The 25,268-nt window shown below is 48.9% G+C and overlaps 2 protein-coding genes across 34 annotated transcripts in view; one reads left to right on the top strand and one right to left on the bottom strand.

Annotated features, from left to right (window-relative positions):
• Positions 1 to 25,268, top strand: part of ZNF142 (zinc finger protein 142) — a 26,295-nt gene extending 1,027 nt beyond the window's left edge. For 7 of the 24 annotated variants that reach the window (XM_011511788.3, XM_011511786.3, NM_001379660.1 and 4 more), the window contains 8 exons: positions 2,134 to 2,447; positions 6,297 to 6,896; positions 8,071 to 8,238; positions 9,138 to 9,962; positions 12,249 to 12,426; positions 13,533 to 16,569; positions 17,828 to 17,933; positions 19,789 to 25,268. In XM_011511788.3, coding sequence (XP_011510090.1) covers positions 2,168 to 2,447; positions 6,297 to 6,896; positions 8,071 to 8,238; positions 9,138 to 9,962; positions 12,249 to 12,426; positions 13,533 to 16,569; positions 17,828 to 17,933; positions 19,789 to 20,258 — 5,664 coding nt within the window. In that variant the 5' untranslated portion in view covers positions 2,134 to 2,167 and the 3' untranslated portion in view covers positions 20,259 to 25,268. Of the gene's footprint in view, positions 1 to 2,133; positions 6,033 to 6,296; positions 6,897 to 8,070; positions 8,239 to 9,137; positions 9,963 to 12,248; positions 12,427 to 13,532; positions 16,570 to 17,827; positions 17,934 to 19,788 lie in introns of those variants that run through there. The other 17 variants (XM_047445782.1, XM_047445780.1, XM_047445781.1 and 14 more) reach the window with 6 other exon arrangements.
• The window catches only part of PLCD4 (phospholipase C delta 4), a 29,277-nt gene continuing 25,430 nt past the window's right edge, over positions 21,422 to 25,268 (bottom strand). For 3 of the 10 annotated variants that reach the window (XM_047446072.1, XM_047446077.1, XM_047446074.1), the window contains 5 exons: positions 24,836 to 25,211; positions 24,376 to 24,492; positions 23,967 to 24,139; positions 22,666 to 22,801; positions 21,422 to 22,354 (listed from right to left, as the gene is read on the bottom strand). In XM_047446072.1, coding sequence (XP_047302028.1) covers positions 22,020 to 22,354; positions 22,666 to 22,801; positions 23,967 to 24,139; positions 24,376 to 24,492; positions 24,836 to 25,211 — 1,137 coding nt within the window. In that variant the 3' untranslated portion in view covers positions 21,422 to 22,019. Of the gene's footprint in view, positions 22,355 to 22,665; positions 22,802 to 23,966; positions 24,140 to 24,375; positions 24,493 to 24,835; positions 25,212 to 25,268 lie in introns of those variants that run through there. The other 7 variants (XM_024453182.2, XM_047446075.1, XM_047446076.1 and 4 more) reach the window with 7 other exon arrangements.

The raw sequence follows: 25,268 nt of genomic DNA, 5'->3' as shown, positions 1-25,268 counted from the left end.
CTGGAAATAGGGACTATCAGATTGCAGGATCTTGGTTTTTGTTTGTTTTTTTTTTGAGACGGAGTTTCGCTCTTGTTGCCCAAGCTGGGGTGCAATGGTGCGATCTCGGCTCACTGCAACCTCCGCCTCCCGGGTTCCAGCGATTCTCCTGCCTCAGCCTCCCGAGTAGCTGGGATTACAGGCGTGTGCCACCACACCCTGCTGATTTTTTGTATTTTTAGTAGAAACAGGGTTTCACAATGTTCGCCAGGCTGGTCTCGAACTTCTGACCTCAGGTGATCGGCCCGCCTTGGCCTCCCAAAGTGCTGGGATTACAGGCCTGAGCCACCGCGCCCGGCCTGGTTTCTTCTTCTTTTTTTCTTTTTGCATCTTGTCTGTGACTCAATTTCATGAAGTGATTCCCATCATTCTTATTAATTACTAATTATTCAGCTTAAACTCATTTTAGCCATGTATAACAGGGTATGCAATTCAATTGTCATTCATTCCTCAGTTATGTTCCCATATTTAGTTTGAGGCCATAGTCAGTTAATGAGTTTGAAATTTCTCCAAATGTGTTACGTTATAGGTGAGGAACCACTGGTTTTGTACAAGATACCTAGCTTTACTCCAATGCAGCTCCATATCTGTGGTTCTTCACTGGAATCTTCGATTGTGGGTGATTTGTGTTCGTTGAAGTGATAATGTCAGTATCACAAAGTAATATCATTGAAGTGATAATGTCAACAAATTACTAAAAAAGCTATACATCTAGGGAGAGAGACTGACAGGTAAACAACAGTGCAGTGTGACCTCGTTTCTGATAGGGCTGTGTACAGAGTGCCCTTAGGACGCCAGAAGAGAGAAGATAAGAGTTTCGGGAAGCCAGGCCCGGCGCGGTGCCTCACGCCTGTAATCCCAGCACTTTGGGAGGCCGAGGCAGGTGGATCACCTGAGTTCTGGAGTTCAAGACCAGCCCAACCAACATGGAGAAACCCCATCTCTACTAAAAATACAAAATAGTAGCCAGGCGTGGTGGTACATGCCTGTAATCCCAGCTACTCAGGAGGCTGAGGCAGGAGAATCGCTTGAACCCAGGAGGCAGAGGTTGTAGTGAGCTGAGATCGTGCCACTGCCCTCCAGCCTAGGTGACAGACTAAGACTGTCTCAAAAAAAAGAATGTCAGGAGGCCTTCATGGTGGAAGTGACATTTGTGCAGCTTCTTCAAGGATAGTTAATTGGTTAGCCAGATAAGAGAGAGAGATTGAGAAGGGGAAAAGGCATATCAAGCCAAGAGACGCAAAAGGCTGTGAGGGTATGAAAGCAAAAGAGAATGTGGTGGGTCTGGAGAATGGCACATCATCTGGTTCAGAGATCTGCTGAGGGGAGAAGTGGGAGATGAGTCAGGGGAGGTCAGCAGGAGCCAGATGATGAAGGAAGGGCCTTCCTTATAATCCATGCTGAGGAATAGTGAGATTATCAAAGGTTAAGAGGGAAAGGGACCAGGCAAGGTGGCTCACGCCTATAATCCCAGCACTTTGGGAGGCCAAAACGGGCAGATCACCCAAGGTCAGAAGTTCGAGACCAGCCTGGCCAACATGGTGAAACTCCATCGCTGTTAAAAATACAAAATTTACCTGGGCGTGTGTGGCACATGCCTGTAGTCCAGCTATTGGGGAGGCTGAGACAGGAGAATTGCTTGAACCCAGGAGGCGGAGGTTGCAGTGAGCCAAGATCACGCCACTGCACTCCAGCCTGGGTGACAGAGCGAGACTCTGTCTCAAAAAAAAAAAAAAAAAAGGACTTCTGAGATATTTGGGCCCCACCTAATTTTGTTGCAGATAAGAAATCTGAGACCCAAATTGCTTAATGACTTGGCTAAGGGCACTTAGCTAGCAGAAGACAACCTGCAGTCATTAATATATTGGCCAATACTTGTTGGCTGTCTCCTAATATTCTGTTATCATTTTTATACTTTTTGTTCTGAACATTATCATAAAAGAAAGCCTCTATTTAGTCTCATATGGTATATATGGCATATTGCCATGCAAGAAAATGCCTAAGTGGGTGGGCACTGGGCTGTGTACCCACGCCAGCCAGGAAGAAAGTAAGAACTCTAACCTTACTTTGTTTTTCTTCTGGTTGGCTTGTCAGCATTTAAGAAGCCAAAACACACAAGTCGGTGGTGATGACAGACCCCCTTTTGGACTCACAGCCAGCCAGTAGCACCGGGGAGATGGATGGACTGTGCCCTGAGCTATTGCTGATCCCCCCGCCTCTCTCTAACCGTGGAATCCTGGGGCCTGTCCAGAGCCCCTGTCCTTCCCGGGACCCTGCACCTATACCTACTGAGCCAGGCTGCCTGCTGGTAGAGGCCACAGCAACTGAAGAGGGACCAGGGAACATGGAGATCATTGTGGAGACAGTAGCTGGAACCCTGACCCCAGGTGCTCCTGGAGAGACCCCAGGTACAAACACAGTTGCAAGCAGGCCAGTGGGACAAGCAGCTCTGAGGTTTTGTCTGGGTTATTTTTGATTCTGTATAAATATGATGAGAACACAAGGTAGCATCCTATTTTTATACTTGGAGATGTTGTCATTTGGTTTGCAGTTGGTGCATGTTGATTGAAGGCTGGCGAAGTGGTGCACAGCCTTCTACCAAGCTTTTGGCAGTCTGTCCTGCAAGGGCTTCATGTGTGCTAGGCAGTAATCCAGAAAGTAAGACCTTTCTGACACCTCCGCCCAATCCTGGCTTGTCCCTACTCTTACAGTCCTTGGAGATTCTTTCCTCCATATTGACCCTCCTACCCAGGAACTGCAGCCAGGGATTAAGCAAAAACCCTGTCTCTACCACCCTGGGCTTGGCAGGGCTTTCCAGAAGTGATCTGGTATTTCCCTGCCCTAGTTTTTTGTGTATAACATACTTTACTCATCCGAGGCATGTTGTTAAGAATAAGAGTTGAGGCCTGGTACAGTGGCATGCACCTGTAGTCTCAGCTACTTGGGAGGCTGAGGCAGGAAGATTGCTTGAGCCCAGGAGTTAGAGGCTGCCGTATGTTATGATCATACCTGTGAATAGCCACTGCACTCCAGCCTGGGCAATATAGTGAGACCCCCATCTCTTTAAAAAAACAAAACAAAACAAAAAAGTAGGAGTTGAGCATTTGTATTTATCTCAGATGAAAGATTCTCCCTTTATTCATCCCATTATCCTCACCTCTTATTTTTAGGAAGCTTCCCTGTTTTTTAATTACCGTCCTCCAGCCATAGTTGTCACCACTTCAGTTGGCACTGTAGTATAGTGACAAAGAATATTGGGAAAGATTAGCTAATTTGACCATATAATATTTCCAAACTTCCATATGGTGAAAGAAATTTAAAAAAATAAAAAGCCTAGGAAAAACATTCGCAATATGTAAGAAAGAGTTAATATCTTTAAAATTCAAAGAGCCACAGTAAGAAAAAGAAACCATCTTTTTTGTTGTTTGCTTTGCTTTTTTTGTTTTCTTTTGGTTTTGGGGGTTTTGTTGAGACAGGGTCTTGCTCTGCCACCCAGGCTAGAGTGCAGTGGCACAGTTACGGCTCACTGCAGCCTTGACCTCCTGGGCTTAAGCAATCCTCTTGCCTCAGCTTCCCATGTAGCTGGGGCCACAGGTGTATACCACCCACACTCAGCTAGTTTTTAAATTTTCTTTGGTAGAAACGAGGTCTCACCTTGTTGCCCAGGCTAGTCTTGAACTCCTGGGCTCAAGCAATCTTCCCACCTCGGCCTCCTAAAGTTTTGGGATTACAGACATGAGCCATCGCACCCAGCAGAAACCTTTTTTTTTTTTTAAATGGGAAAAAGAAATCTATGTGCAATGCTCTAAAGAAGAAATAAAAGTAGTAACCATATGGAAGGATGCTTAATCTCACTAGCAAAGAAATAAATTCCAGTTAAAAATAAGAGATGTGGCTGGGCATGGTGGCTCATGCCTATAATCCTAGCACTTTGGGAGGCCGAGACAGGCAGTTGCCTGAGCTCAGGAGTTTGAGACCAGCCTGGGCAAGATGGTGAAACCCCACCTCTGCTAAGATACAAAAAATCAGCTGGCATGGTGGTGGGCACCTGTAATCCCAGCTACTCAGGAGGCTGAGGCAGGAGAATTGCTTGAACCCGAGAGGCGGAGGTTGCAGTGAGCCAAGATCGCACCACTGAACCCTAGCCTGGACAACAAAGCGAGATTCTGTCTCAAAAAAAAAAAAGGAGATGCATTTTGGCATAAATTAAACATTTTTAATAATACCTAGTGTTGATGAGGCTATAGGAAACACTATGTTACAGCTTATGGAGATACAAATTAGTATAATCTTTTGAAGGTCAATTTAGCTACATAGCAAATTTTACAATTTGCATACTCTGACCACTAATTCCACTGTAGGAATGCACAAAGACACCGGAATTACAGTGGCCAGAGCAAGGATGAGGATATATAGGGGTGCTTTATTTGTAATGGTTGGAAACAGCCCAAATGTCCATCAGTAACGGCACAATTTATTTTTTAAAATTATTTTTAGAATGGGCAACATAGGGAGACCCCATCTCTACAAAAAAATTTAAAATTAGCCAGGAATGGTGATGCCTGTAGTCCCACCTACTCAGGAGGCTGAGGTGGGAGAATCACTTGAGCCCAGCAGGTCAAGGCTGCAGTGAGCTGTGATCACACCACCACTGCACTGCAGCCTGGGTGACAGAGAGAGACCTTGTTTCCCCCACCACCAGCCAAAAAAATTATTTTTATTTTTTTGGTCCCCAGGGAAGCAAGGGCAGAATTTCGTTTTGATTTGTTCATGCTCTGGAAAAAACATGAACTGGATAAGAAAGTACAAACTAGATGTAAATGTACTCAAAGATAAAAATATCTTTGATATATAGCAAGTGGAAAGAAAAGGGTCAAAAAGAAACACACCAAATTGTGCGTGTGAAGGTGCTGGGTGGTTATTCTTCCTTTGTATACTTATGTATCATTTTAGATGTTGCACTGAAATTTTTTTTTTTTTTTGAGATAGAGTTTCACTCTTGTCACCCAGGCTGCAGTGCAATGGCGTGATCTTGGCTCGCTGCAACCCACCTCCCAGGTTCAAGCGATTCTCCTGCCTCAGCCTCCTGAGTAACTGGGATTACAGGCATGCGCCACCATGCCCAGCTAATTTTGTATTTTTAGTAGAGACGGGGTTTCGCCATGTTGGTCAGGCTGGTCTCAAACTCCCAACCTCAGGTGATCCACCCACCTCGTCCTTCCAAAATGCTGGGATTACAGGTGTGAGCCACTAGGCCCGGCCTGAAATTTTTTTTTTTTTTGAGACAGAGTCTCTCTCTTGGCCAGGCTGGAGTGCAGTGGGCAATCTCGGCTCACTGCAACCTCCACCTCTCATGTTCAAGCGATTCTCCTGCCTCAGCCTCCTGAGTAGCTGGGACTACAGGTGCGTGCCACCACGCCTGGCTAATTTTTTGTATTTTTAGTAGAGACGGGTTTTCACCATGTTAGCCAGGATGGTCTCGATCTCCTGACCTCATGATCCTCCTGTCTCAGCCTCCCAAAGTGCCAAGATTACAGGCGTGAGCCACTGCACCTGGCCCTGAAATTTTTTTTTTTAACAACAAAAAAAACAATAAAGAGCAAACAGACCAGCAGAATAAATGTAGGACAAACCTGGCCTTGAGTCATGGCTCTACCACTAATAAACATAGTAGTCTTAATCTCGTAGAATCTCAGGACCTTGTTGTCATAGGGCTGTTGGAGGACCAAATGAGAGCGTTTATTAAGCCTTTCTTTATCAAAGTCTTGCCCATTGCTTTTAAAACGGCAGCAATTATTATGGAGAATAATAATTATTTTCAGAAGGATATTCTCCATTTTATCCATTCCTGTGCCTTTGTAAAGCTCTTTACAGAATTTGAAAGTAAAGCTCTTAACCATTTATATTGCAGATATTATCCCTAGTTTGTCATTTTCTTTTGGAAGTTTCTGGTTTTCACTTGGGCAAAATATACTGTCTTAATGCTTTCTGGATTTGCTTGCTTGTTCACTCATTTAACAAATATTTATTAAGCACCTATCTTGTGCCAAGTATTGTGCTAGGAATCCAAACACACGTGCCAGATAGATGGTCCCTGACCTTATGGGGCCTACAGTCCAGGTGTAGGACCAGACTTAAAGTCCATCTGTACTCTACGAATATTAAAAGATTCACCTACATTTTCTACTAGTAACTAACTCCTATGAGTCTTGTTCCATCTGATTCTATGCCTTTCTCTGTCGGTCCTCTGCCTGCAGGTGTCCTGGTAAAGGTGGTGGAGGTGTACTTCTGTGAGCGCTGTGAACAGAGCTTCGCAGAGCCCACTCTGCTGGCCCTGCACCAGTGCAGTGAGACCCATATACAGCCTGTGCAGGGCCTCTCTAGCCCCCCATGCTCTGTAGAGCTGCCTCCCAGCAACCCAACCCTCCCTGGCCCTCTGCAGGGCCAGAGCCCGCCAGTTAGCCCCCTATCATGCCCTGTGTGTAGACAGGAGTTTGCCCAACCCCAGGCCCTGAAGAGCCACTTCAAGATTCACCGGGGCACTCCTGACACCTTCTCCTGCCCAGAATCTGGCTGTGTGTTCTCTGCTGAAGATCGCAAGGGTCTGCAGCACCACCTGAGGCAGACTCACAGAGCAGTTCCTGTGCCCTGTTCTTTCCGGGGCTGCCCCCTGCTTTTCGGGAGCCAGCAGGGCATGGAGCTGCACCGGCAGGCGCATTACCCTTTCCACTGCAGCCACTGCAGCTTCATAGGCTCCAACGTCAAACTCTTCCGGCAGCATCAGCGGAGCCATGGTGCTGGGACACAGGGAGAACTTTCTGCCGTTCAGGGCCTTCCATCCCAGGAGCTGCTGCCAGGTATGAGGCCAAGGGCCAAGCAGTTCCTCTCCTGGAGTTCAGCCACAGTTGATCTTATAGGAGAGGCAGTTGTTTCCAAGGCCATGAATGTACATGAATATAAGAGAATCTAGACAGTGGCTCAGGAGGATGGAGTTACTGGATGACATGGGAAGGCATCTTGAAACAGTTGGAATATATGGGACAAAGAGGAAGTCTTTGTTTGTGACAATGAGTGAAAGTTGGCTTAGGCTACGTGTGGCCTGAAGTTACTTAACCAATATTCTCTAATGATCCATTTCACAACTTTCTGAGAGCTAAAGTGAAAATGACCATCATTGGCTATGGCCACTGATAGAATGCCTGTAGACTTTCCTTTAGAGCAACTGGGGATTGGGCAGTAGAAGCCAGGGTTATTTTAAAAAGGAAATAACCCTTTGGGCTGGGCACTGTGGCACATGCCTGTGATCCCAACAATTTGAGAGGCCAAGGTGGATGGATCCCTTGAGCCCAGGAGTTCAAGACCAGCCTGGGCAATGTGGTGAAATGCTGTCTCTACAAAAAATACAAAAATTGGGTGTGGTGGTACATGTCTGTAGTCCCAGTTACTCGGGAGGTTGAGGTGGGGGATCACTTGAGCTCAGGAGGTGGAGGTTGCAGTGAGCCAAGATTGCAGCACTGCACTTCAGTCTGGATGACAGAGTAAGACCCTGTCTCAAAAAAAAAAAAAAAAAGAAGTAAAGAAAGGAACTTAGGAACTTTCAAGGGAGACGGCGTTTTAGTAGTTGTCATTCTTCTTGGTCCCAAAAAAGCATGAGAGAGCAGAGGAGCAGGAGGAAACAGAGAAAACGGGCCAGGAGAGGCCAGAATTCTGATAAGAGAAGGAATTGCAGTCTACCCATTCTCTACTTTCAGCCCCCTATGACCTCAATGACCTCGCTGCTGTCAGCTTCATGGAGTCTGAAAGTGGTGCTCTCTGAGGTTTGAGTTACTTTAGACTGGAACATTGCTAATAACTTAGCTCTTCGTCCTCCTATTTTCATCTTGAGTGGAAATACATTTATACATAAAACCCAAGATCTCCTTATGCTAAAAGTGGGAGAGGGTGATTATTTCAGCCAGTAGGTAGAGAAGTATAAGCATTTAGTGCTGTTATTGGCTCCTGTAGACTTTATCAAGTTTTATGTATCTCCAGCTCCCAAACTGCCTCCAGGAGAGAGAGAACCTTCACAGGAAGCAGGTACACCCTTGCCTGGGCAGGAGACAGCTGAAGAGGAGAATGTAGAGAAAGAAGAGAAGAGTGACACCCAGAAGGACTCCCAAAAGGCTGTGGATAAAGGCCAAGGGGCTCAGCGGCTGGAAGGTAATGACATTCTGAGGCTTGAAGCCCTTGGTGGTGGGGAAGAATGGATTGTTGAAACCCTGCCATTGAGGCTCTGGGGTTTGTTTTCTGAGCTTTGGTTCGGATCCTTTTATTCTGTTCTACCTTGACTCAAAAGTCAAGGTCTAGTGGGAAAATGATAAATGAGTGAATGGTAAAGACTTTAGTAATATAGCATTGGGGTAAATCGAGTTTGCTTCACTGGGCTGGTTTTCCTCAGGCAGAAAACTCTAGCAGGGAAGCAGGAGGTGATCTTCATCATATAGAGATGCCAGAAGTTATTGATGATCAGCAGCCTATTTTGTCTGGCACTGAGCCCTCAAATACTTTTTTCTGAATCTTTGCTTCCCAGTTTTTCACCTCAGTAGAATATTTGAAAGTCATCCCACAAGGAGCATAGTTATCAAGTGAATAAGAAAGATTGGGTTGTATTTATTACCAACTTCATTATTATCTAGAGCCTGTGAGCCAGTAAGAGTACTGTACCTTCTTTTGGCTCACCCCCTTGGGGGCTCTTTTCCTTCTAACTAATCTTGCCGATGCTTCTGCCTGCCCCCATAGAACAAGGCAGGAAAGAACAAGAATGCTCCATTCAGATTATTTTAAGCAGCTCTAAACAAAGGCTCAAGAAGAGCAGGTAGCTGAGTAAAGCACTTCAAACAGGCTGTCACAGCAAGGCCTGAGAAGCCCTTGTGATTTTGCTTCTCTTAAAACTTGAGTTTCTCACCCTTTTTTGAGACTACAGTATTTGAGACCCTTTTGCTTGGTTTCCTGCAGAGAGGCCACACATCGTTTGTGTCTGAGCAAATTGTGGTTCTCCCATTATCTGGCTTTCCCCAGAAAAATCTCACTCTCTCAACTCTCTGTATTCCCTTTCCCAGGGGATGTGGTCTCTGGCACCGAGTCCCTCTTCAAGACCCATATGTGTCCAGAGTGTAAGCGCTGCTTTAAGAAGCGGACTCATCTGGTGGAGCACCTGCATCTCCACTTCCCAGACCCCAGCCTCCAGTGCCCTAACTGCCAGAAGTTCTTCACCAGTAAGAGCAAGCTCAAGACCCATCTGCTGCGGGAGCTGGGTGAAAAGGCCCACCACTGCCCACTGTGCCACTACAGTGCGGTGGAGAGGAATGCACTCAACCGCCACATGGCCAGCATGCATGAAGATATTTCCAACTTCTACTCAGACACCTATGCCTGTCCTGTCTGCCGTGAGGAATTCCGCCTCAGCCAGGCCCTAAAGGAGCACCTCAAGAGCCACACGGCAGCAGCCGCAGCAGAGCCATTACCCCTTCGCTGCTTTCAGGAGGGCTGCAGCTATGCAGCACCCGACCGCAAGGCCTTCATTAAGCACCTGAAGGAGACCCATGGGGTGCGGGCTGTGGAGTGCCGCCATCACTCATGTCCCATGCTCTTTGCCACAGCCGAAGCCATGGAGGCCCACCACAAGAGTCACTACGCCTTCCACTGCCCCCACTGTGATTTTGCTTGTTCCAATAAGCACCTATTCCGTAAACACAAGAAGCAGGGCCACCCTGGCAGTGAAGAGCTGCGCTGCACCTTCTGCCCCTTTGCCACCTTCAACCCAGTGGCTTACCAGGATCATGTAGGCAAGATGCATGCTCATGAAAAGATCCACCAGTGTCCTGAGTGCAACTTTGCCACTGCCCACAAGAGGGTGCTCATCCGACACATGCTTCTACATACGGGTAGGATGGTTTCCATCCTTAAAATAATGTTGTAATAATGATGGTGGTGATACTGGCTACAAAGGGTCTTGCATACGTTTTCTCATTTGACCCAAAATTCCTAGAGATAGATCTAGCATTCCAAGTTTACAAATGAGCCTTAAGTTGAGTGTCATTTAGCTAGTAAAGTAGTAGAGCTAGGATTTGAATCCATGCAGTCTGATTCCAGAGCCTGTGCTCTAACCACTGTGGTGCTGTGCCTCGCTCTTAAGCCCTTGTCCAGTTCTGCCCACCCCTAGTCAGGCTTGAGTGGGTTAACACCAAGCCTGAAGAAACCTAAACCAGGACAAATACCTTACTTTGCAATTCATGTTTTGGGATATGCTAAGAGAGACGGGCGAGGGGACTGAGCCATCCACACGCATATGGCCTTCTATAACTTGGGCATCCATGACACTGAAAAAGATCACCTCCAGTGACCTGGAAGTTGCAGATGTTTAACTCGCACTCGTAACTGTCTTCTAGCATTCTTGATGCTTTAGGTAACAACCAAACCAAGCTTCCTGCTACAGCATCATCCCATTTGTGATCTCTATATCAACATCAGTGGATTGACAGGACATTTTTAGAATTTTCATCAAAGACACTGGTTTGGGAGAAAAAATTGTAGGCATCCTGGGACAAAGCCATTCTCACTGAACTCATTCCTGTACATGCTTTAGTCACAAAATCTCATGTTTCTGAGGTCTTTCCAAAAGGCTTAATCTTTTAAGTAAGGCAGATAAAGATGAGAAAAGAGACAAACTCTGAGACCTACTTTAAGATCACACAGATAGTGTTAGAACCAGAATACCACATTGCTAGCCTTTTCACCATAGGGAAGGGGTCTGGGTGAGTGGGCAGGGACAACAAGGAGGGGTCTTGAAGGAACCTGGCCCCCAGCCTGTCAGTGCCAGGTCTTGACCATCAATATGGACAGCTCACCTTTGAGTTCTCACTGAGTATCACTGACAGCTTTGGGACATTTCATATAATCTTTATACCAACCTTTTGGAGGCAAGGAAACAGACTGCTCAAACCCACATGGTAGTCAACTAGGATTTAAACTACCACTTAATGGCTCTATGATTTCTCTGTGCCTCTGTTTCCCTATCTGTAAAATGAGGGTGATAATAGCACCTGCCTCTTAAGGATGTTCTGAAAATTTGAGGGGAGGAGGCTTTTTTTTTTTTTGAGATGGAGTCTGGCTCTGTTGCTCAGGCTGGAGTAAAGTGGCCCAATCTCGGCTCACTGCAAGCTCCACCTCCTGGGTTCACGCCATTCTCCTGCCTCAGCCTCCCGAGTAGCTGGGACTACAGGCATCTACCACCATGCCCAGCTAATTTTTTGTATTTTTAGTAGAGACAGGGTTTCACCGTGTTAGCCAGGATGGTCTCGATCTCCTGACCTCATGATCCACCTGCCTCGACCTCCCAAAATGCTGGGATTACAGGCGTGAGCCACCATGCCCGGCCGAGAGGAGGAATTTTTTTACAAAGTGCTCAGAAGAGTGCTAGTCACATAATAAGAACTTTGTTCATGTTGGCTGTTAATATTTTTATTACTGTGTTGGACTTCAGATCAGAATTCTTGACCATTCTGTTCTGTTGTCTCATTTATTTTTCCTTTTGTTCTAGAAAACAGAAAAATTAGGCTGAGTAGTTGACCATAGTGACAGCAAGCTGTAAAACAAATCAAGAGTGGACTTTAAGCTAGTTTTGAAAAGCTTGGGGTGGGCACGGTGGCTCACGCCTGTAATCCCAACACTTTAGGAGGCCAAGGCGGGCGGATCACCTAAGGTCAGGAGTTCGAGAACAGCCTGGCTAACATGGTGAAACCCCATCTCTACTAAAAATACAAAAAAATTAGTTGGGCGTGGTGGCGGGCACCTGTAATCCCAGCTACTCGAGAGGCTAAGGCACAAGAATTGCTTGAACCCGGGCAGCCGAGCTTGGCAGTGAGCTGAGGTAGCGTCACTGCACTCCAGCCTGGGCGACAGATTGAGACTCTGTCTCAATTTAAAAAAAAAAAAGAAAAGCTTGGTCTTTACTTTCTTCCCATCTTCACTGGTGTGGGAGTTGGGGGAGTAGTTGTCTGAGAGGGCCCTGAAGCAGCCCTTTATTATTGTGAGGTTTTCACCATCTCAGGTAGCACATGAAGCTGTTGTTCCTCCCTGGCATCAGGGCAGGCTTGCTGGAAGAAATGGTCTGTCCACTTGATCTGTATCTGACCTGTGTTCTCTCCCTTCATCCGCATCCCCCATATAAGGTGAGAAGCCCCACAAGTGTGAGCTGTGTGACTTCACATGCCGAGACGTGAGCTACCTATCCAAGCACATGCTGACCCACTCCAACACCAAGGATTACATGTGCACTGAATGTGGCTATGTCACCAAGTGGAAGCACTACCTCCGTGTGCACATGCGAAAACATGCAGGGGACCTCAGGTACAACACACACATAGGCCTCCGTCCCAATCCCAAGAATCTTAGCCAAGCTAGCTTCCTCTCGGATCTAACTTCTGGCCCTATTTCTTTCTCCGGTCCCTGGAGAGTCTCCTCCTAAGGCCGGGTGCAATGGCTCACACCTGTAATCCCAGCACTTTGAGAGGCCGGGGCGGGCAAATTGCTTGAGCTTGGGAGTTCAAGGCCATCTGGGCAACACCCCATCTCTACTAAAACTACAAAAATTAGCTGGGCATGGTAGCAGACGCCTGTAATGCCAGCTTCTTGGGAGGCTGAAGCACTAGAATCGCTTGAGCCGGGGGGTGGAGGTTGCAATGAGCCAAGATTGCACCACTGTACTCCAGCCTGGGTGACAGAGTAAGACTCTGTTTCAAAAAAGAAAAGGAAAGAAAAAAGAGAGTCTTTTCCTAACACCCTTCTCTGTTCCCACTGTCTCAACTCCATTGCCTACAGCTGGCCTCTGTGACTGTGGCTCAGTCACATAGCGAGCACTCTCTGGGCTCTGGGAAGGGAGTATAGACCTACAGTATAGGCCTAGAGACTAAGGTGTCACTTGAGTTCTCAGAGTTTGGCCCTGGGAAAGTGGATAGACACTATATTCATGCCCCAATCTTGCCACTTCCAAATCCAGGCAAGTTCTCTGACCTATGGCACAGCTGGCTAAGGGGTTTCTAGACCTGTCATGCCTCTGTGGGAGAAGGGAAATGAGGCACAGAAACCTGCCCTGTGGAGTTGTAGCCACGTCAGTTCCTTGGAAGTCTACAGTGGGTCATGCTGATTCATGATTACTTTCTTTTAGGAAGGCAGTACAGAATAGGGCTTAGAACACAGGCCCTGAAGCTAGGCTGTCTCTGCTCCTGGCTTACTTTGTAACCAACCTTAGGCAAATTATTAACTTCTGTGATTTAGTTTTTCTCACTTGGAAAATAGAGATACCAGTTTCATAGGGTAGTGAAAAGGAGGGTTACATCAGGTGACACATGTATGATACTGAGTGCAGAGCCTGGCCCACAGTAAGTATTTACTGACTGATTCTTAGTTGTTGTGATTAATTATTGTGATTGCCTCCCCCTTTCCCTCCTTGCCAGGTATCAGTGCAACCAGTGCTCCTATCGCTGTCACCGGGCTGATCAGCTGAGCAGCCACAAGCTGCGGCATCAGGGCAAGTCTCTGATGTGTGAGGTGTGTGCCTTCGCCTGCAAGCGGAAGTATGAGCTGCAGAAGCACATGGCTTCCCAGCACCACCCTGGCACACCGGCCCCACTCTACCCTTGCCACTACTGCAGTTACCAGAGCCGCCACAAGCAGGCTGTGCTGAGCCATGAGAACTGCAAGCATACCCGCCTCCGTGAGTTCCACTGTGCCCTCTGTGACTACCGCACCTTCAGCAACACCACACTCTTGTTCCATAAACGCAAGGCCCATGGCTATGTACCTGGAGACCAGGCCTGGCAGCTCCGCTATGCAAGCCAGGAGCCAGAAGGGGCCATGCAGGGCCCAACACCCCCACCAGATTCAGAGCCCTCAAACCAGCTGTCAGCCCGACCTGAGGGGCCAGGTCACGAACCTGGGACTGTGGTGGACCCCAGCTTGGACCAGGCCCTGCCAGAGATGAGTGAGGAGGTCAACACTGGAAGACAGGAGGGCAGTGAGGCTCCCCATGGGGGTGACCTGGGTGGCAGTCCCAGCCCAGCAGAGGTGGAGGAGGGCAGCTGCACACTACACCTAGAGGCCCTGGGAGTAGAGCTGGAGTCTGTGACTGAGCCACCCCTTGAGGAGGTCACTGAAACAGCCCCTATGGAGTTCAGGCCCCTGGGACTGGAAGGGCCAGATGGACTGGAAGGACCAGAGCTATCTAGCTTTGAAGGTATTGGGACTTCTGACTTGAGTGCTGAAGAAAATCCCCTTCTGGAAAAGCCAGTGTCTGAGCCCTCCACAAATCCTCCATCCTTAGAGGAGGCTCCTAACAACTGGGTAGGAACCTTCAAGACAACTCCACCTGCTGAGACAGCACCCTTGCCCCCATTACCTGAGTCAGAGTCATTACTCAAGGCCCTAAGGAGACAGGACAAAGAACAAGCAGAGGCATTGGTGCTAGAGGGGCGGGTGCAGATGGTAGTGATCCAGGGAGAGGGGCGAGCCTTCCGCTGCCCACACTGCCCTTTTATCACTCGCCGGGAGAAGGCCCTGAATCTGCACTCCAGGACTGGGTGCCAAGGCCGCCGAGAGCCCCTGCTGTGCCCCGAGTGTGGGGCTAGCTTCAAGCAACAACGCGGCCTCAGCACCCACCTGCTGAAGAAGTGCCCTGTTCTACTCAGAAAGAACAAGGGCTTGCCCAGACCAGATTCACCCATCCCTCTGCAACCTGTGCTCCCAGGTACCCAGGCCTCAGAGGACACAGAAAGTGGGAAGCCCCCACCTGCATCACAAGAAGCAGAGCTACTGCTTCCAAAAGATGCTCCTTTGGAGCTTCCCAGGGAGCCAGAAGAAACAGAAGAGCCTCTTGCCACAGTCTCTGGTTCCCCAGTCCCTCCTGCAGGAAACTCCTTGCCCACAGAGGCCCCTAAGAAGCACTGCTTTGACCCAGTCCCTCCTGCAGGAAACTCCTCACCCACGGAGGCCCCTAAGAAGCACCACCTTGACCCAGTCCCTCCTGCAGGAAACTCCTCACCCACAGAGGCCCTGAAGAAGCACCGCTTTGAGCAGGGCAAGTTTCACTGCAACTCCTGCCCATTCCTTTGTTCCCGGCTCTCCTCTATTACCTCTCACGTGGCTGAAGGCTGCAGGGGGGGACGTGGCGGGGGAGGAAAACGAGGGACCCCCCAGACCCAGCCTGATGTGTCCCCGTTGAGCAATGGGGACTCTGCTCCCCCGAAGAATGGGAGTACAGAGTCCAGCTCTGGTGATGGGGATACAGTTCTGGTTCAAAAGCAGAAGGGGGCTCGCTTCTCCTGCCCTACATGTCCCTTTAGCTGCCAGCAGGAACGGGCTCTGAGGACTCACCAGATCCGGGGCTGCCCCCTCGAGGAGTCTGGAGAGCTGCACTGCAGCCTCTGCCCATTCACTGCTCCTGCTGCCACTGCCTTAAGGCTCCACCAGAAGCGGAGGCACCCCACTGCAGCCCCAGCCCGTGGGCCCCGGCCCCATCTACAGTGTGGGGACTGTGGCTTCACCTGTAAACAGAGCCGTTGCATGCAGCAGCACCGGCGGCTCAAGCACGAGGGGGTGAAGCCCCATCAGTGCCCCTTCTGTGACTTTTCGACCACCAGACGGTACCGGTTAGAGGCTCACCAGTCCCGACACACAGGCATTGGCCGCATCCCCTGCAGCTCTTGCCCCCAGACGTTTGGTACCAACTCGAAACTGCGCTTGCACCGGTTAAGGGTACATGACAAAACACCTACCCACTTCTGTCCACTTTGTGACTATAGTGGCTACCTTCGCCATGACATCACTCGTCATGTCAACAGCTGCCACCAAGGCACCCCAGCCTTTGCCTGCTCCCAGTGTGAAGCCCAGTTCAGCTCAGAGACAGCACTTAAGCAGCATGCTCTGCGCCGACACCCCGAGCCTGCACAGCCTGCCCCTGGCTCTCCTGCAGAGACCACTGAGGGCCCCCTGCACTGTTCCCGCTGTGGGTTGCTGTGCCCCAGCCCTGCCAGCTTACGAGGACACACCCGTAAACAGCACCCACGGCTTGAGTGTGGGGCCTGCCAGGAGGCCTTCCCTAGCCGACTGGCTCTGGATGAGCACCGGAGGCAGCAGCATTTCAGCCACCGCTGTCAGCTCTGTGACTTTGCTGCCCGGGAGCGGGTGGGCCTGGTAAAGCACTACCTGGAACAGCATGAGGAGACTTCAGCAGCCGTGGCAGCCTCAGATGGGGATGGGGATGCTGGCCAGCCCCCGCTACACTGCCCCTTTTGTGACTTCACATGCCGCCATCAGCTGGTACTAGATCACCATGTGAAAGGGCATGGGGGCACTCGTCTCTACAAGTGCACCGATTGTGCTTACAGCACCAAGAACCGACAGAAGATCACCTGGCACAGCCGCATCCACACTGGGGAAAAGCCTTACCACTGTCACCTCTGCCCCTATGCCTGTGCTGATCCCTCTCGTCTCAAGGTAATGTCAGAGGATATGGGGCAGGAAGTGGAAGGAGCACAGGCTCTGGAGTTAAACTGCCTTGGTTCTCTATAGCTGACTCCTCCAGATATTAGCTCTGTGACTTTGGGAAAGTTCCTTTACCAAGCCTCAGATTCTTCATCTGTTAAAAATGAGATAATACCAACTTCATAGGGTTGTTGTAAAGATAAAGTTCCATAATGTGGCTCACGCCTGTAATCTTAACACTTTGAGATACCAAGTTAGGAGGATTGCTTGAAGCCAAGAGTTGAAGACCACTCGGCAGCAGAGCGAGATCCCATTACAAAAACTTTTTCTTAATCAGCTGGGCATGGTGGCAAGTACCTGTAGTCCCAGCTACTCAGGAGGCTGAGGTGGGAGGATTGCTTGAGCCTAGGAATTTGAGGCTGCAGTGAGCTATGATCATGCCACTGCACCCCAGCCTGAGTGACAGAGCAAGACTCCATTTAAAAAAAAAAATTGAGGCTGGGTGCGGTGGCTCACGCCTGTAATCCCAGCACTTTGGGAGGCCAAGGTGGGCGGATCATGAGGTCAGGAGATCGAGACCATCCTGGCTAACACTGTGAAACCCCGTCTCTACTAAAAATACAAAAAATTAGCCGGGTGTGGTGGCGGGCACCTGTAGTCCCAGCTACTCGAGGCTGAGGCAGGTGAATGGCGTGAACCTGGGAGGCAGAACTTGCAGTGAGCCGAGATCGCGCCACTGCACTCCAGCCTGGGCGACACAGCGAGACTCCATCTCAAAAAAAAAAAAAAAAAAAAATTATCGGCCAGGTGAGGTGGCTCACGCCTGTAATCCTAGCACTTTGGGAGGCCAAGGCCAGAGGATTGCTTGATCCCAGGAGTTTGAGACCAGCCAGGGCAACATATGGAGACTCTGTCTTTACAAAAATAAATTTTTTTAATTAGCTGGACATTGTGGCGCATGCCTGTATTCCCAGCTACTTGGGAGGCTGAGGTGGGAGGATCGCTTTAGCCCAGGAGGTTAAGGCTGCAGAGAGCTGTGATCACACCAGTTCACTCCAGCCTGGGCAACAGAGTGAGACCCTGTCTCTTTAAAAAAAAAAAAAAAAAAATCCCTAGCAAGTAAACTGAAGATTAAGAAAAACAAAGTTCCATAATGTCTGCTTGCCATATGATAAAGGCATAGAACAGGGCAAGAATAACCTGGATAATAACAGCTAACATTTATTGAGCACTTACTATATTTTCTGCTTTTTGCTCTTGCCTCTTCCAGTACCACATGCGGATCCACAAGGAGGAACGGAAGTACCTGTGCCCTGAGTGTGGCTACAAGTGCAAGTGGGTCAACCAGCTGAAATACCACATGACCAAGCATACAGGTGAGTCTGTGTGGTTTCGACAGGCCTGAAGGGTTCCTTTGTTCCCTGGCAAACCTAACCTTACCAAGGTTGGTCCTTGTTCCAATTCAGGGCCAACATCAATTTCACATTGGGAGTAGACAGCAGGGTGGGGTTGTATGTGCCAGAATGGCTCCCCAACCCACTGAAGACCTGTCAGAATCAGAAGGGTAAACCTGAGAGCCTGGGCATATGTACTTTCCAAAAGCTTCCCAGGTGACTGTGTTACGAAGTCAGTCATTTTTCCCCTCTTGAGAACCCCCAACTCAAACTTGTATGACTAAGGGCAGATTTGCTTGGCTCTTACACAGACATGATGGAACTATCATGAGTTAAAAAGGAGAAAGTGAAGGATTCTCCTGTTCTAGTCTGTCCTTTTCTTCTCCTGGGTGTGGATGGAATCCACAAACCCGGTTCTTGAAAGCACACAATCGTGTGCCTGTGCTTATTGCATCTGATCCCCCTATGTGGAGGAATTGATTAGGAGCATTTCAAGGCCCTCTGCTTTTATGAATGCCACTTATTTCACCTCTACCTCTTCCCTCCTAAGTATTTCTTTTTTTTTTTTTTTTTTTTTTTTTTTTGAGACAGAGTCTCGCTCTGTTGCCCAGCCTGGAGTGCAGTGGCGCAATCTAAGCTCACTGCAAGTTCTGCCTCTGCCTTCCGGGTTCACACCATTCTCCTGCCTTAGCCTCCCGAGTAGCTGGGACTACAGGCACCCGCCACCACGCCCGGCTAAGTTTTTGTATTTTTAGTAGAGATGGGGGTTTCACCGTGTTAGCCAGAATGGTCTCAATCTCCTGACCTCATGATCCGCCCGCCTCGGCCTCCCAAAGTGCTGGGATTACAGGCATGAGCCACCATGCTCGGCCCCTCCTAAGTATTTCTTTTACTTTTTTTTTTTTTTTTTTTCAGTGACAGGGTCTTGCTCTGCTGCCCATGCTGGAGTGCAGTGGTGCAGTCATAGCTCACTACAATCTCAAACTCCTGGGTGCACATCATCTTCTTGCCTTAGCCTCCCAATTAGCTGGGTCTACAAGTGCACGCCACCACGCCCACCTAATTTTTTTGTAGACAGGGTCTCACTTTGTTGCCCAGGCTGGGTCTTTGACTTTTTGAGTTGAACAAGCCGTTGTGTTTAAATGAATTGTCGAATTCCATGAGTACTCTGTGACCAAAAGAGGGTTATAATTTCCCATGGGGAAACCCTTCCATATTTGAGTATTCATTACTGTCAGGTAGCTAGTTGGTTAGAGGTCCCGTTAATCATCAGCATCCATTGGGCACCCACAACATTGATTGCTGGGACTACAACATTGAGTTCTTGTTGATGTACAAGGACGCTGTGTTGGAAAGGCACAGAAATGTCAGACAGGGCCAGGCGCGGTGGCTCATGCCTGTAATCCCAGCACTTTGGGAGGCCAAGGAGGGCACATCACTGGAGGTCCAGAGTTCAAGACCAGCCTGGCCAACATGGTGAAACCCTGTCTTCACTAAAAATACAAAATTAGCCAGGTGTGGTGGCCCATGCCTGTTATTCCAGCTACTTGGGAAACTGAGGCAGGAGGATCACTTGAACCTGGGAGGCGGAGGTTGTAGTGAGCCGAGATTGCACCATTGCACTCCAGCCTGGGCAACAAGAGCGAAACTCCGTCTCAAAGAAAAATAAAAGAAAAAAGAAATGTCAGACAGGACTGGAGGACTGGAGCATTCCAAAGAGATGGTCATTAGTCAACTTGCTGCTTGCATTCTTTATATCCACTGATTGCAGTAACTCCATGGCCCAGTAAACCTTGCTCCACCGCCTTTCAATGGTGATTTGTTCCCTGTCCTGTAGGACTGAAGCCATACCAGTGTCCCGAGTGTGAGTACTGCACCAACCGGGCTGATGCACTGCGTGTGCACCAGGAGACCCGGCATCGAGAAGCACGGGCTTTCATGTGTGAGCAGTGTGGCAAGGCCTTCAAGACGCGCTTCCTGCTGCGCACCCACCTTCGCAAGCACAGTGAGGCCAAACCCTATGTGTGCAATGTGTGCCACCGTGCTTTCCGCTGGGCTGCTGGCCTGCGCCATCATGCCCTCACCCACACCGACCGCCACCCCTTCTTTTGCCGCCTCTGCAACTACAAGGCCAAGCAAAAGTTCCAGGTGGTCAAGCACGTACGCAGGCACCACCCTGACCAAGCCGACCCAAACCAGGGTGTGGGCAAAGACCCCACCACCCCCACAGTGCACCTGCATGATGTGCAGCTGGAGGATCCCAGCCCTCCTGCTCCTGCCGCTCCCCACACTGGACCTGAGGGCTGAAAGCCTGCCCCACCTCCTGTATAGGAAGAGGGTATGGTCTGAGATGTGCAGACTGGGACCAGCGCTAGCCTGAGGAGCTCAGAGCCTAAGGAAAGACTGGCTTTTGGGGTACAAGGGTGACTAGAACCTTCCTGGGACTCTGGCTATAGTACTTTGAAATTATCACCCATATAAAAGAGGGACATGGACTATAACGTTGATTTCTTATTGCTGTACATTGCGTTTTTAACCTGCAAGTTCTCAGTTTCTTCACCATCACTCCATCAAAGTCCCTGGCTATAAGATCTGGATTTTACCCACTCCATCTTCTCTTTCCTTCTTACTGTGTCAATTCCTATTTTCTTTCAGAATCTTCTAAAAACAGTTGTATCTAACCGCATGTGCTGTTGTGCCTAATGCTCTATAAAGCATGTTAAACAGAAAGTGGTTACTACATTATAGATTCATCCAAATCCCTGTCTTAACATTTCCAGGCTGTCATCTTGATCAACTCTGTCCCCTCTCAGACCTCTGCCTCCCTTTTGTCCCTTCCATCTTCACTCAGTATTGATACTGAAACAGGCCTAGGTCTGCCTTCTCCCTGTCCTTGAGCCATCTTGACCCTTGACCTGCTCCCTACTTCCAAGCTCCTTTGTCTACCTGTATCTATAGAGGGAGGATTGCTACCCACTAAGCCTCCTCCTAGAAGCAACTTTAGCTCATCATCAATCCTCAGACTGGCTCAGCAGCTACACTAAGGTGTTAAAGCACAAGGATACTATGGAAAGGCAGATGACTAGAGAGGAAAATCTCCAATTCAGAATTCTATAACTGCTTCACAGTATAATTCTGTAGTGCCTTACTATATAATTGATCATCTAAACTGAGACACACTGGGAAAACTTAAAGAGGGTACTATTAATAATTATGCTGGGACAACAGACATAAACCAGGATGGTTCCAGCCAGACTCTTCAGGAAGGCTGGGACCACATAACCTTTTGTCTGCTTTTGCCCTGATTCTTAAAAGCCATACTCTGTGTCCTTCCTATGTAGCACATGCAAGAGGTCTCCTGGGAACCTCTTTCTCTACCTTTTCCTTGTCTCACCTGACTACCCAGATGTCCCCACAACCCTTGTACCTCCCCTTCTTGCCCAACAATGACAGACCATATTGAAGCCAAATTGGAGAGAGATGTATTTATACCAGTGGGGCTAAGGAGGAAGCAGTCCAGTGGGGGACTTTGAGTGCTGTGCAGTGTTCTCTTAAGAGTCGTAGTACAGTCCTGGGGTCAAGTCTCTTTCCCTAATCTTTGCTGGGGAAGCCTTGAGCCTTGATTTATCCTTCCCTTGGCTTTGGGCTTTGAGGAAGTTGGGGATGGAGGGGATGATGCTTCTTTAGGTTTCTCTATTCCAAGCCCCTCTGAATTTCTAGTTGCAACCTGCCTTCACACAGAGTTGATGGGAAAGATTAGTTGTAGATGTCGGTATGGGATTGAGCCTACAGCAAGAGGAAGAAGGGAACTCCAGTATAGAGTACACAAAGGAAAAGGGCAGGAAAGATACCAAAGGCTTATGAAAACAAAGGAAGGGAAGAAAAGAGAAAAAAGGTGGAAAATCAGGTCCCAGATTGCTTGTTAGGAAGAATGAGGTAATTTTGTGCCTAGGAATGCACAATCCAAAGCTTGATTTTCACCACCTCCATTTGTTCTCTCGAGCATCCTTCCAGATGTTTCTCCCCGTCTAAAGCCAGCACACCAACCCTTCCCGTGAAATGCCCACCTCAGGACTCATCCCCCTCCAGGCCTTCCTGGATGCAGATATACACAAAGATGGAAGCTGGGCGGAGGCTGATGCCATCTTTGGACAGCAGGTGAATGTGGCGGTAACCTGGAAGGGGCAGGAGGACAGCATTAGGAAGGCAGCCAGAGCTGGGGTATTGGCCAGGGGCCAAAGGGGCTGGCTCACCTTGTTGCATGCAGGTCCAAGGCAGGGTGTACTGACCAATAAAGTCATTTCGGGATTTCCAGTCATAATCCATTACCACAAAACGCAGCATGGCAAGTTCAGGCACCAGCACCCGGAAACATAGTGTCTGCCCCCAGTATGGATTAAAACCTGAGTTGGTGGACAGAAAGAAATAAGAAGACATTATGACAGTTTTCTTGACTGGGTTGCTTTTCTTGTGTTCTCATTTAATCTAGATGGCAATCAGCATTTTACAGGTAAGGAAAAAGGCTCAGAGTAAGCAAGTAATTTGCCCAGGTCACTGGAGCTTTTAAGTGAAGAGCCAGGATTCTTTGTACTGTTCCACACTGCCTCCCATGTGGGGACATGCAATAACAGATGCTATACTTAATGGAAGACAGACTAGAAGGAAAACTAATCATGCTCCTACCCCCACCTCCCCAGCACTGCCAGTTTCTCACCATTGTTCTCCACATAGTTGGTCTCCTGCCGTGCTGTGTCTAGACGAACGCCAAAGATCTGCACTTTCACCAGTGGATCCACAATGGACCCCTCTTTGGTCTTGTCCACTTTGGGGAGTTGCTGACCGCTGATCACCTGTAGTCAGGGCTCTGGAATCTCACAAGTTCCTGCTCAGCCCAGCCCCACCCGACCCTACTCCCAACCCCAGGGGAGAAGAAGCTTTTTGGTTTGTAAAACATCCTCCATGGGTAATATATTTTCTTCTAGTATTCTATCTGCAATTTAAAATGCACCCAAAGGCCGGGCACGGTGGCTCACACCTGTAATCCCAACACTTCAGGAGGCCGAGGTGGGCAGATCACTTGAAACCAGGAGACCAGCCTGGCCAACATGGTGAAACCCTATCTCTACTAAAAATACAAAAATTAGCCAGGCATGGTGGCGGGCGCCTGTAGTCCCAGCTACTCGGAAGGCTCAGATGGGAGAATCACTTGAACCCAGGAGGCGGAGGTTGCAGTGAGCCAAGATCATGCCACTGCACTCCAGCCTGCAGCAGAGCAAGACTCTGTCTCAGAATAAACAAATAAATTAAATGGATCCAGGTAGAAATTCAACAGTTTGAAAGTAGGCATGCTAATGACAGCAGCCACTTTTTTTTTTTCAAAGAGACACGATCATACTCTTGACCAAGCTGGAATGCAGTGGGGCAGTCATAGCTCACTGCAACCTCCATCTCCTGGGCTAAAGTGACCCTCCAGCCTTAGCCTCCTGAGTAGCCAGGACTATCTATAGTCATGTGCCACCATGCCAGGCTAATTTTTAAATTTTTTGTAGAGACGGGAGTCTCTACAAAATTTTTAAATTTTTTGTTGAGACCAGTTTCAGACTGGTCTCAAACTCCTGGGCTCAAGCAGTCCTCCTGCCTTGGCCTCCAAAGCGCTGGGATTACAGGTGTAAGCTATCGCTCCCAGCCAGCCTCTTTTATAGCACTTCCTGTGTGCCAGGAATTGTAAGAACTTTATATTAACTGTTATACTCCTTATAACCCTGTGAGGCAGGTGGTAGTGTTACCCCTATTTTGCAGGTGAGCAGACTGAGGTATGGAGAGGTTAAGGAACTTGCCCAACATTACCCAATTAGGAAGTTGTGGTTTGAAGCTAGGCAGCTGGCTCCAAAAGCTAAAACTAGACACTGTTAATAGGCTATCCGGCCTCTACATTCCGGTCAGGCCTAGCCACCTCTTCCCTCACTTCTATCCCAGTTATCTCAGTTTCTTCCCAACAGTTTATTTCCACTGTACCTGGATTAAGAGAGTCTGGGCTTTGAAAGGGCTGATGGGCTTCTCAGGGTGGAAAGAACTCTGGATATCACGCAGGAAGTCTGGCTTCAGCACATAGCCACAGCCGCCATTCTGGCGGAAATGCCCATCACAGATGTCCATTTCAAGCCCTGCAGTCTGCATATTCATGGCCACTGAGGGCCCCAGGAGAAAAGAAGAGCAAGATTCACCATGGAGGCCTTCCAGCCCCTCTTTCAGGGAGTTAAGAAGATAGGTACTGGGTGCACGGTACCTGCTGGTAATATCCACTGATAGCATTTCTCAGCCTAGCAATTTTCTTGAGCATTCCCCAACCCTACCATCACTAGAGAACTTATTTCCCACCTGCTGCTCCTCCACTCCCTCTTCCCAGTCCCTGCTGCCTCCTCACCCATCTGGCAGCCTGCATTCCAGAGTTCCTGGGGGTTGTAGTTGGAAGAGTCTGTCCTCAGGCCGCTGGGATACACACGGCTTAACTGCCAAGTATTGTGCTGCACAAACTCATTGCCTGTAAAAGGGTATAGAGAGGGAGATGGAAGTGGGGTGGAATCTCCCACTTCCCTAGTCCCAAGGACCATGCCTACTCTTCACCCTTCTCTCCAGCATCTGAAGCTGGCTCCAGAAAGTTTCACTGTGCCTCTCTACTCTGTCCATCCAGACCAGCTTTCCTGCCCCTAGACCCTTGAGCCACTATTCATAACTCCTCTGCCCTTGTCTGCTCTAAGGAGTTTCTGAACTCCTTCATCTCTCCTTAGCTACCTTGTCTTTTTTCTTGGGACTTACCTGCCAGTCCATCAGGCCTGAACCTATCCATCCCACTTCCCTCCCCATCCCTCCATTTTGGTCCTGACCAGCCTCCTTGATGAGGCGCTTGGCCTTGGTTTCAGAGAAAGATGATATCTCGTAGAAGTGGTAGTGCTCCTTTGAATGTGTGAAGCTGCGGAATGAGACAGACTTCAAGTAGATAACCAGGGAAGAGAGGGCTGGACACAAGATGGGCTTGGATTTCTGGAGAAGGTGGAAAAGAAGATGGAATTGAACCCTCAGCAGTCTGAGAGAGAAGAAGATAATGGCCATCCAACCTAAACCTCTGCCCACTGCCTCCCCACTGTATTCTCCCTCCTGCCTCACCTGCCGGGACAAGAGAAGGGACTCAGGCTTGGAAATAGGAGCCTGGGCCACAATCTGACAACAGATAGACGGACAAAACAGCGGGCACGTCACAACCTGGGGGTGGGAATGGGAATAAAGGCGGTCTGCATGTACTGCTGGGATCAGTGTCAA

Source organism: Homo sapiens, chromosome 2, assembly GCF_000001405.40.
Source record: "Homo sapiens chromosome 2, GRCh38.p14 Primary Assembly".
Classification (NCBI taxonomy): Eukaryota; Metazoa; Chordata; class Mammalia; order Primates; family Hominidae; genus Homo; species Homo sapiens.
Note: the sequence above shows the minus strand (reverse complement) of the source record. Positions and strands in the feature narration are given on the sequence as shown.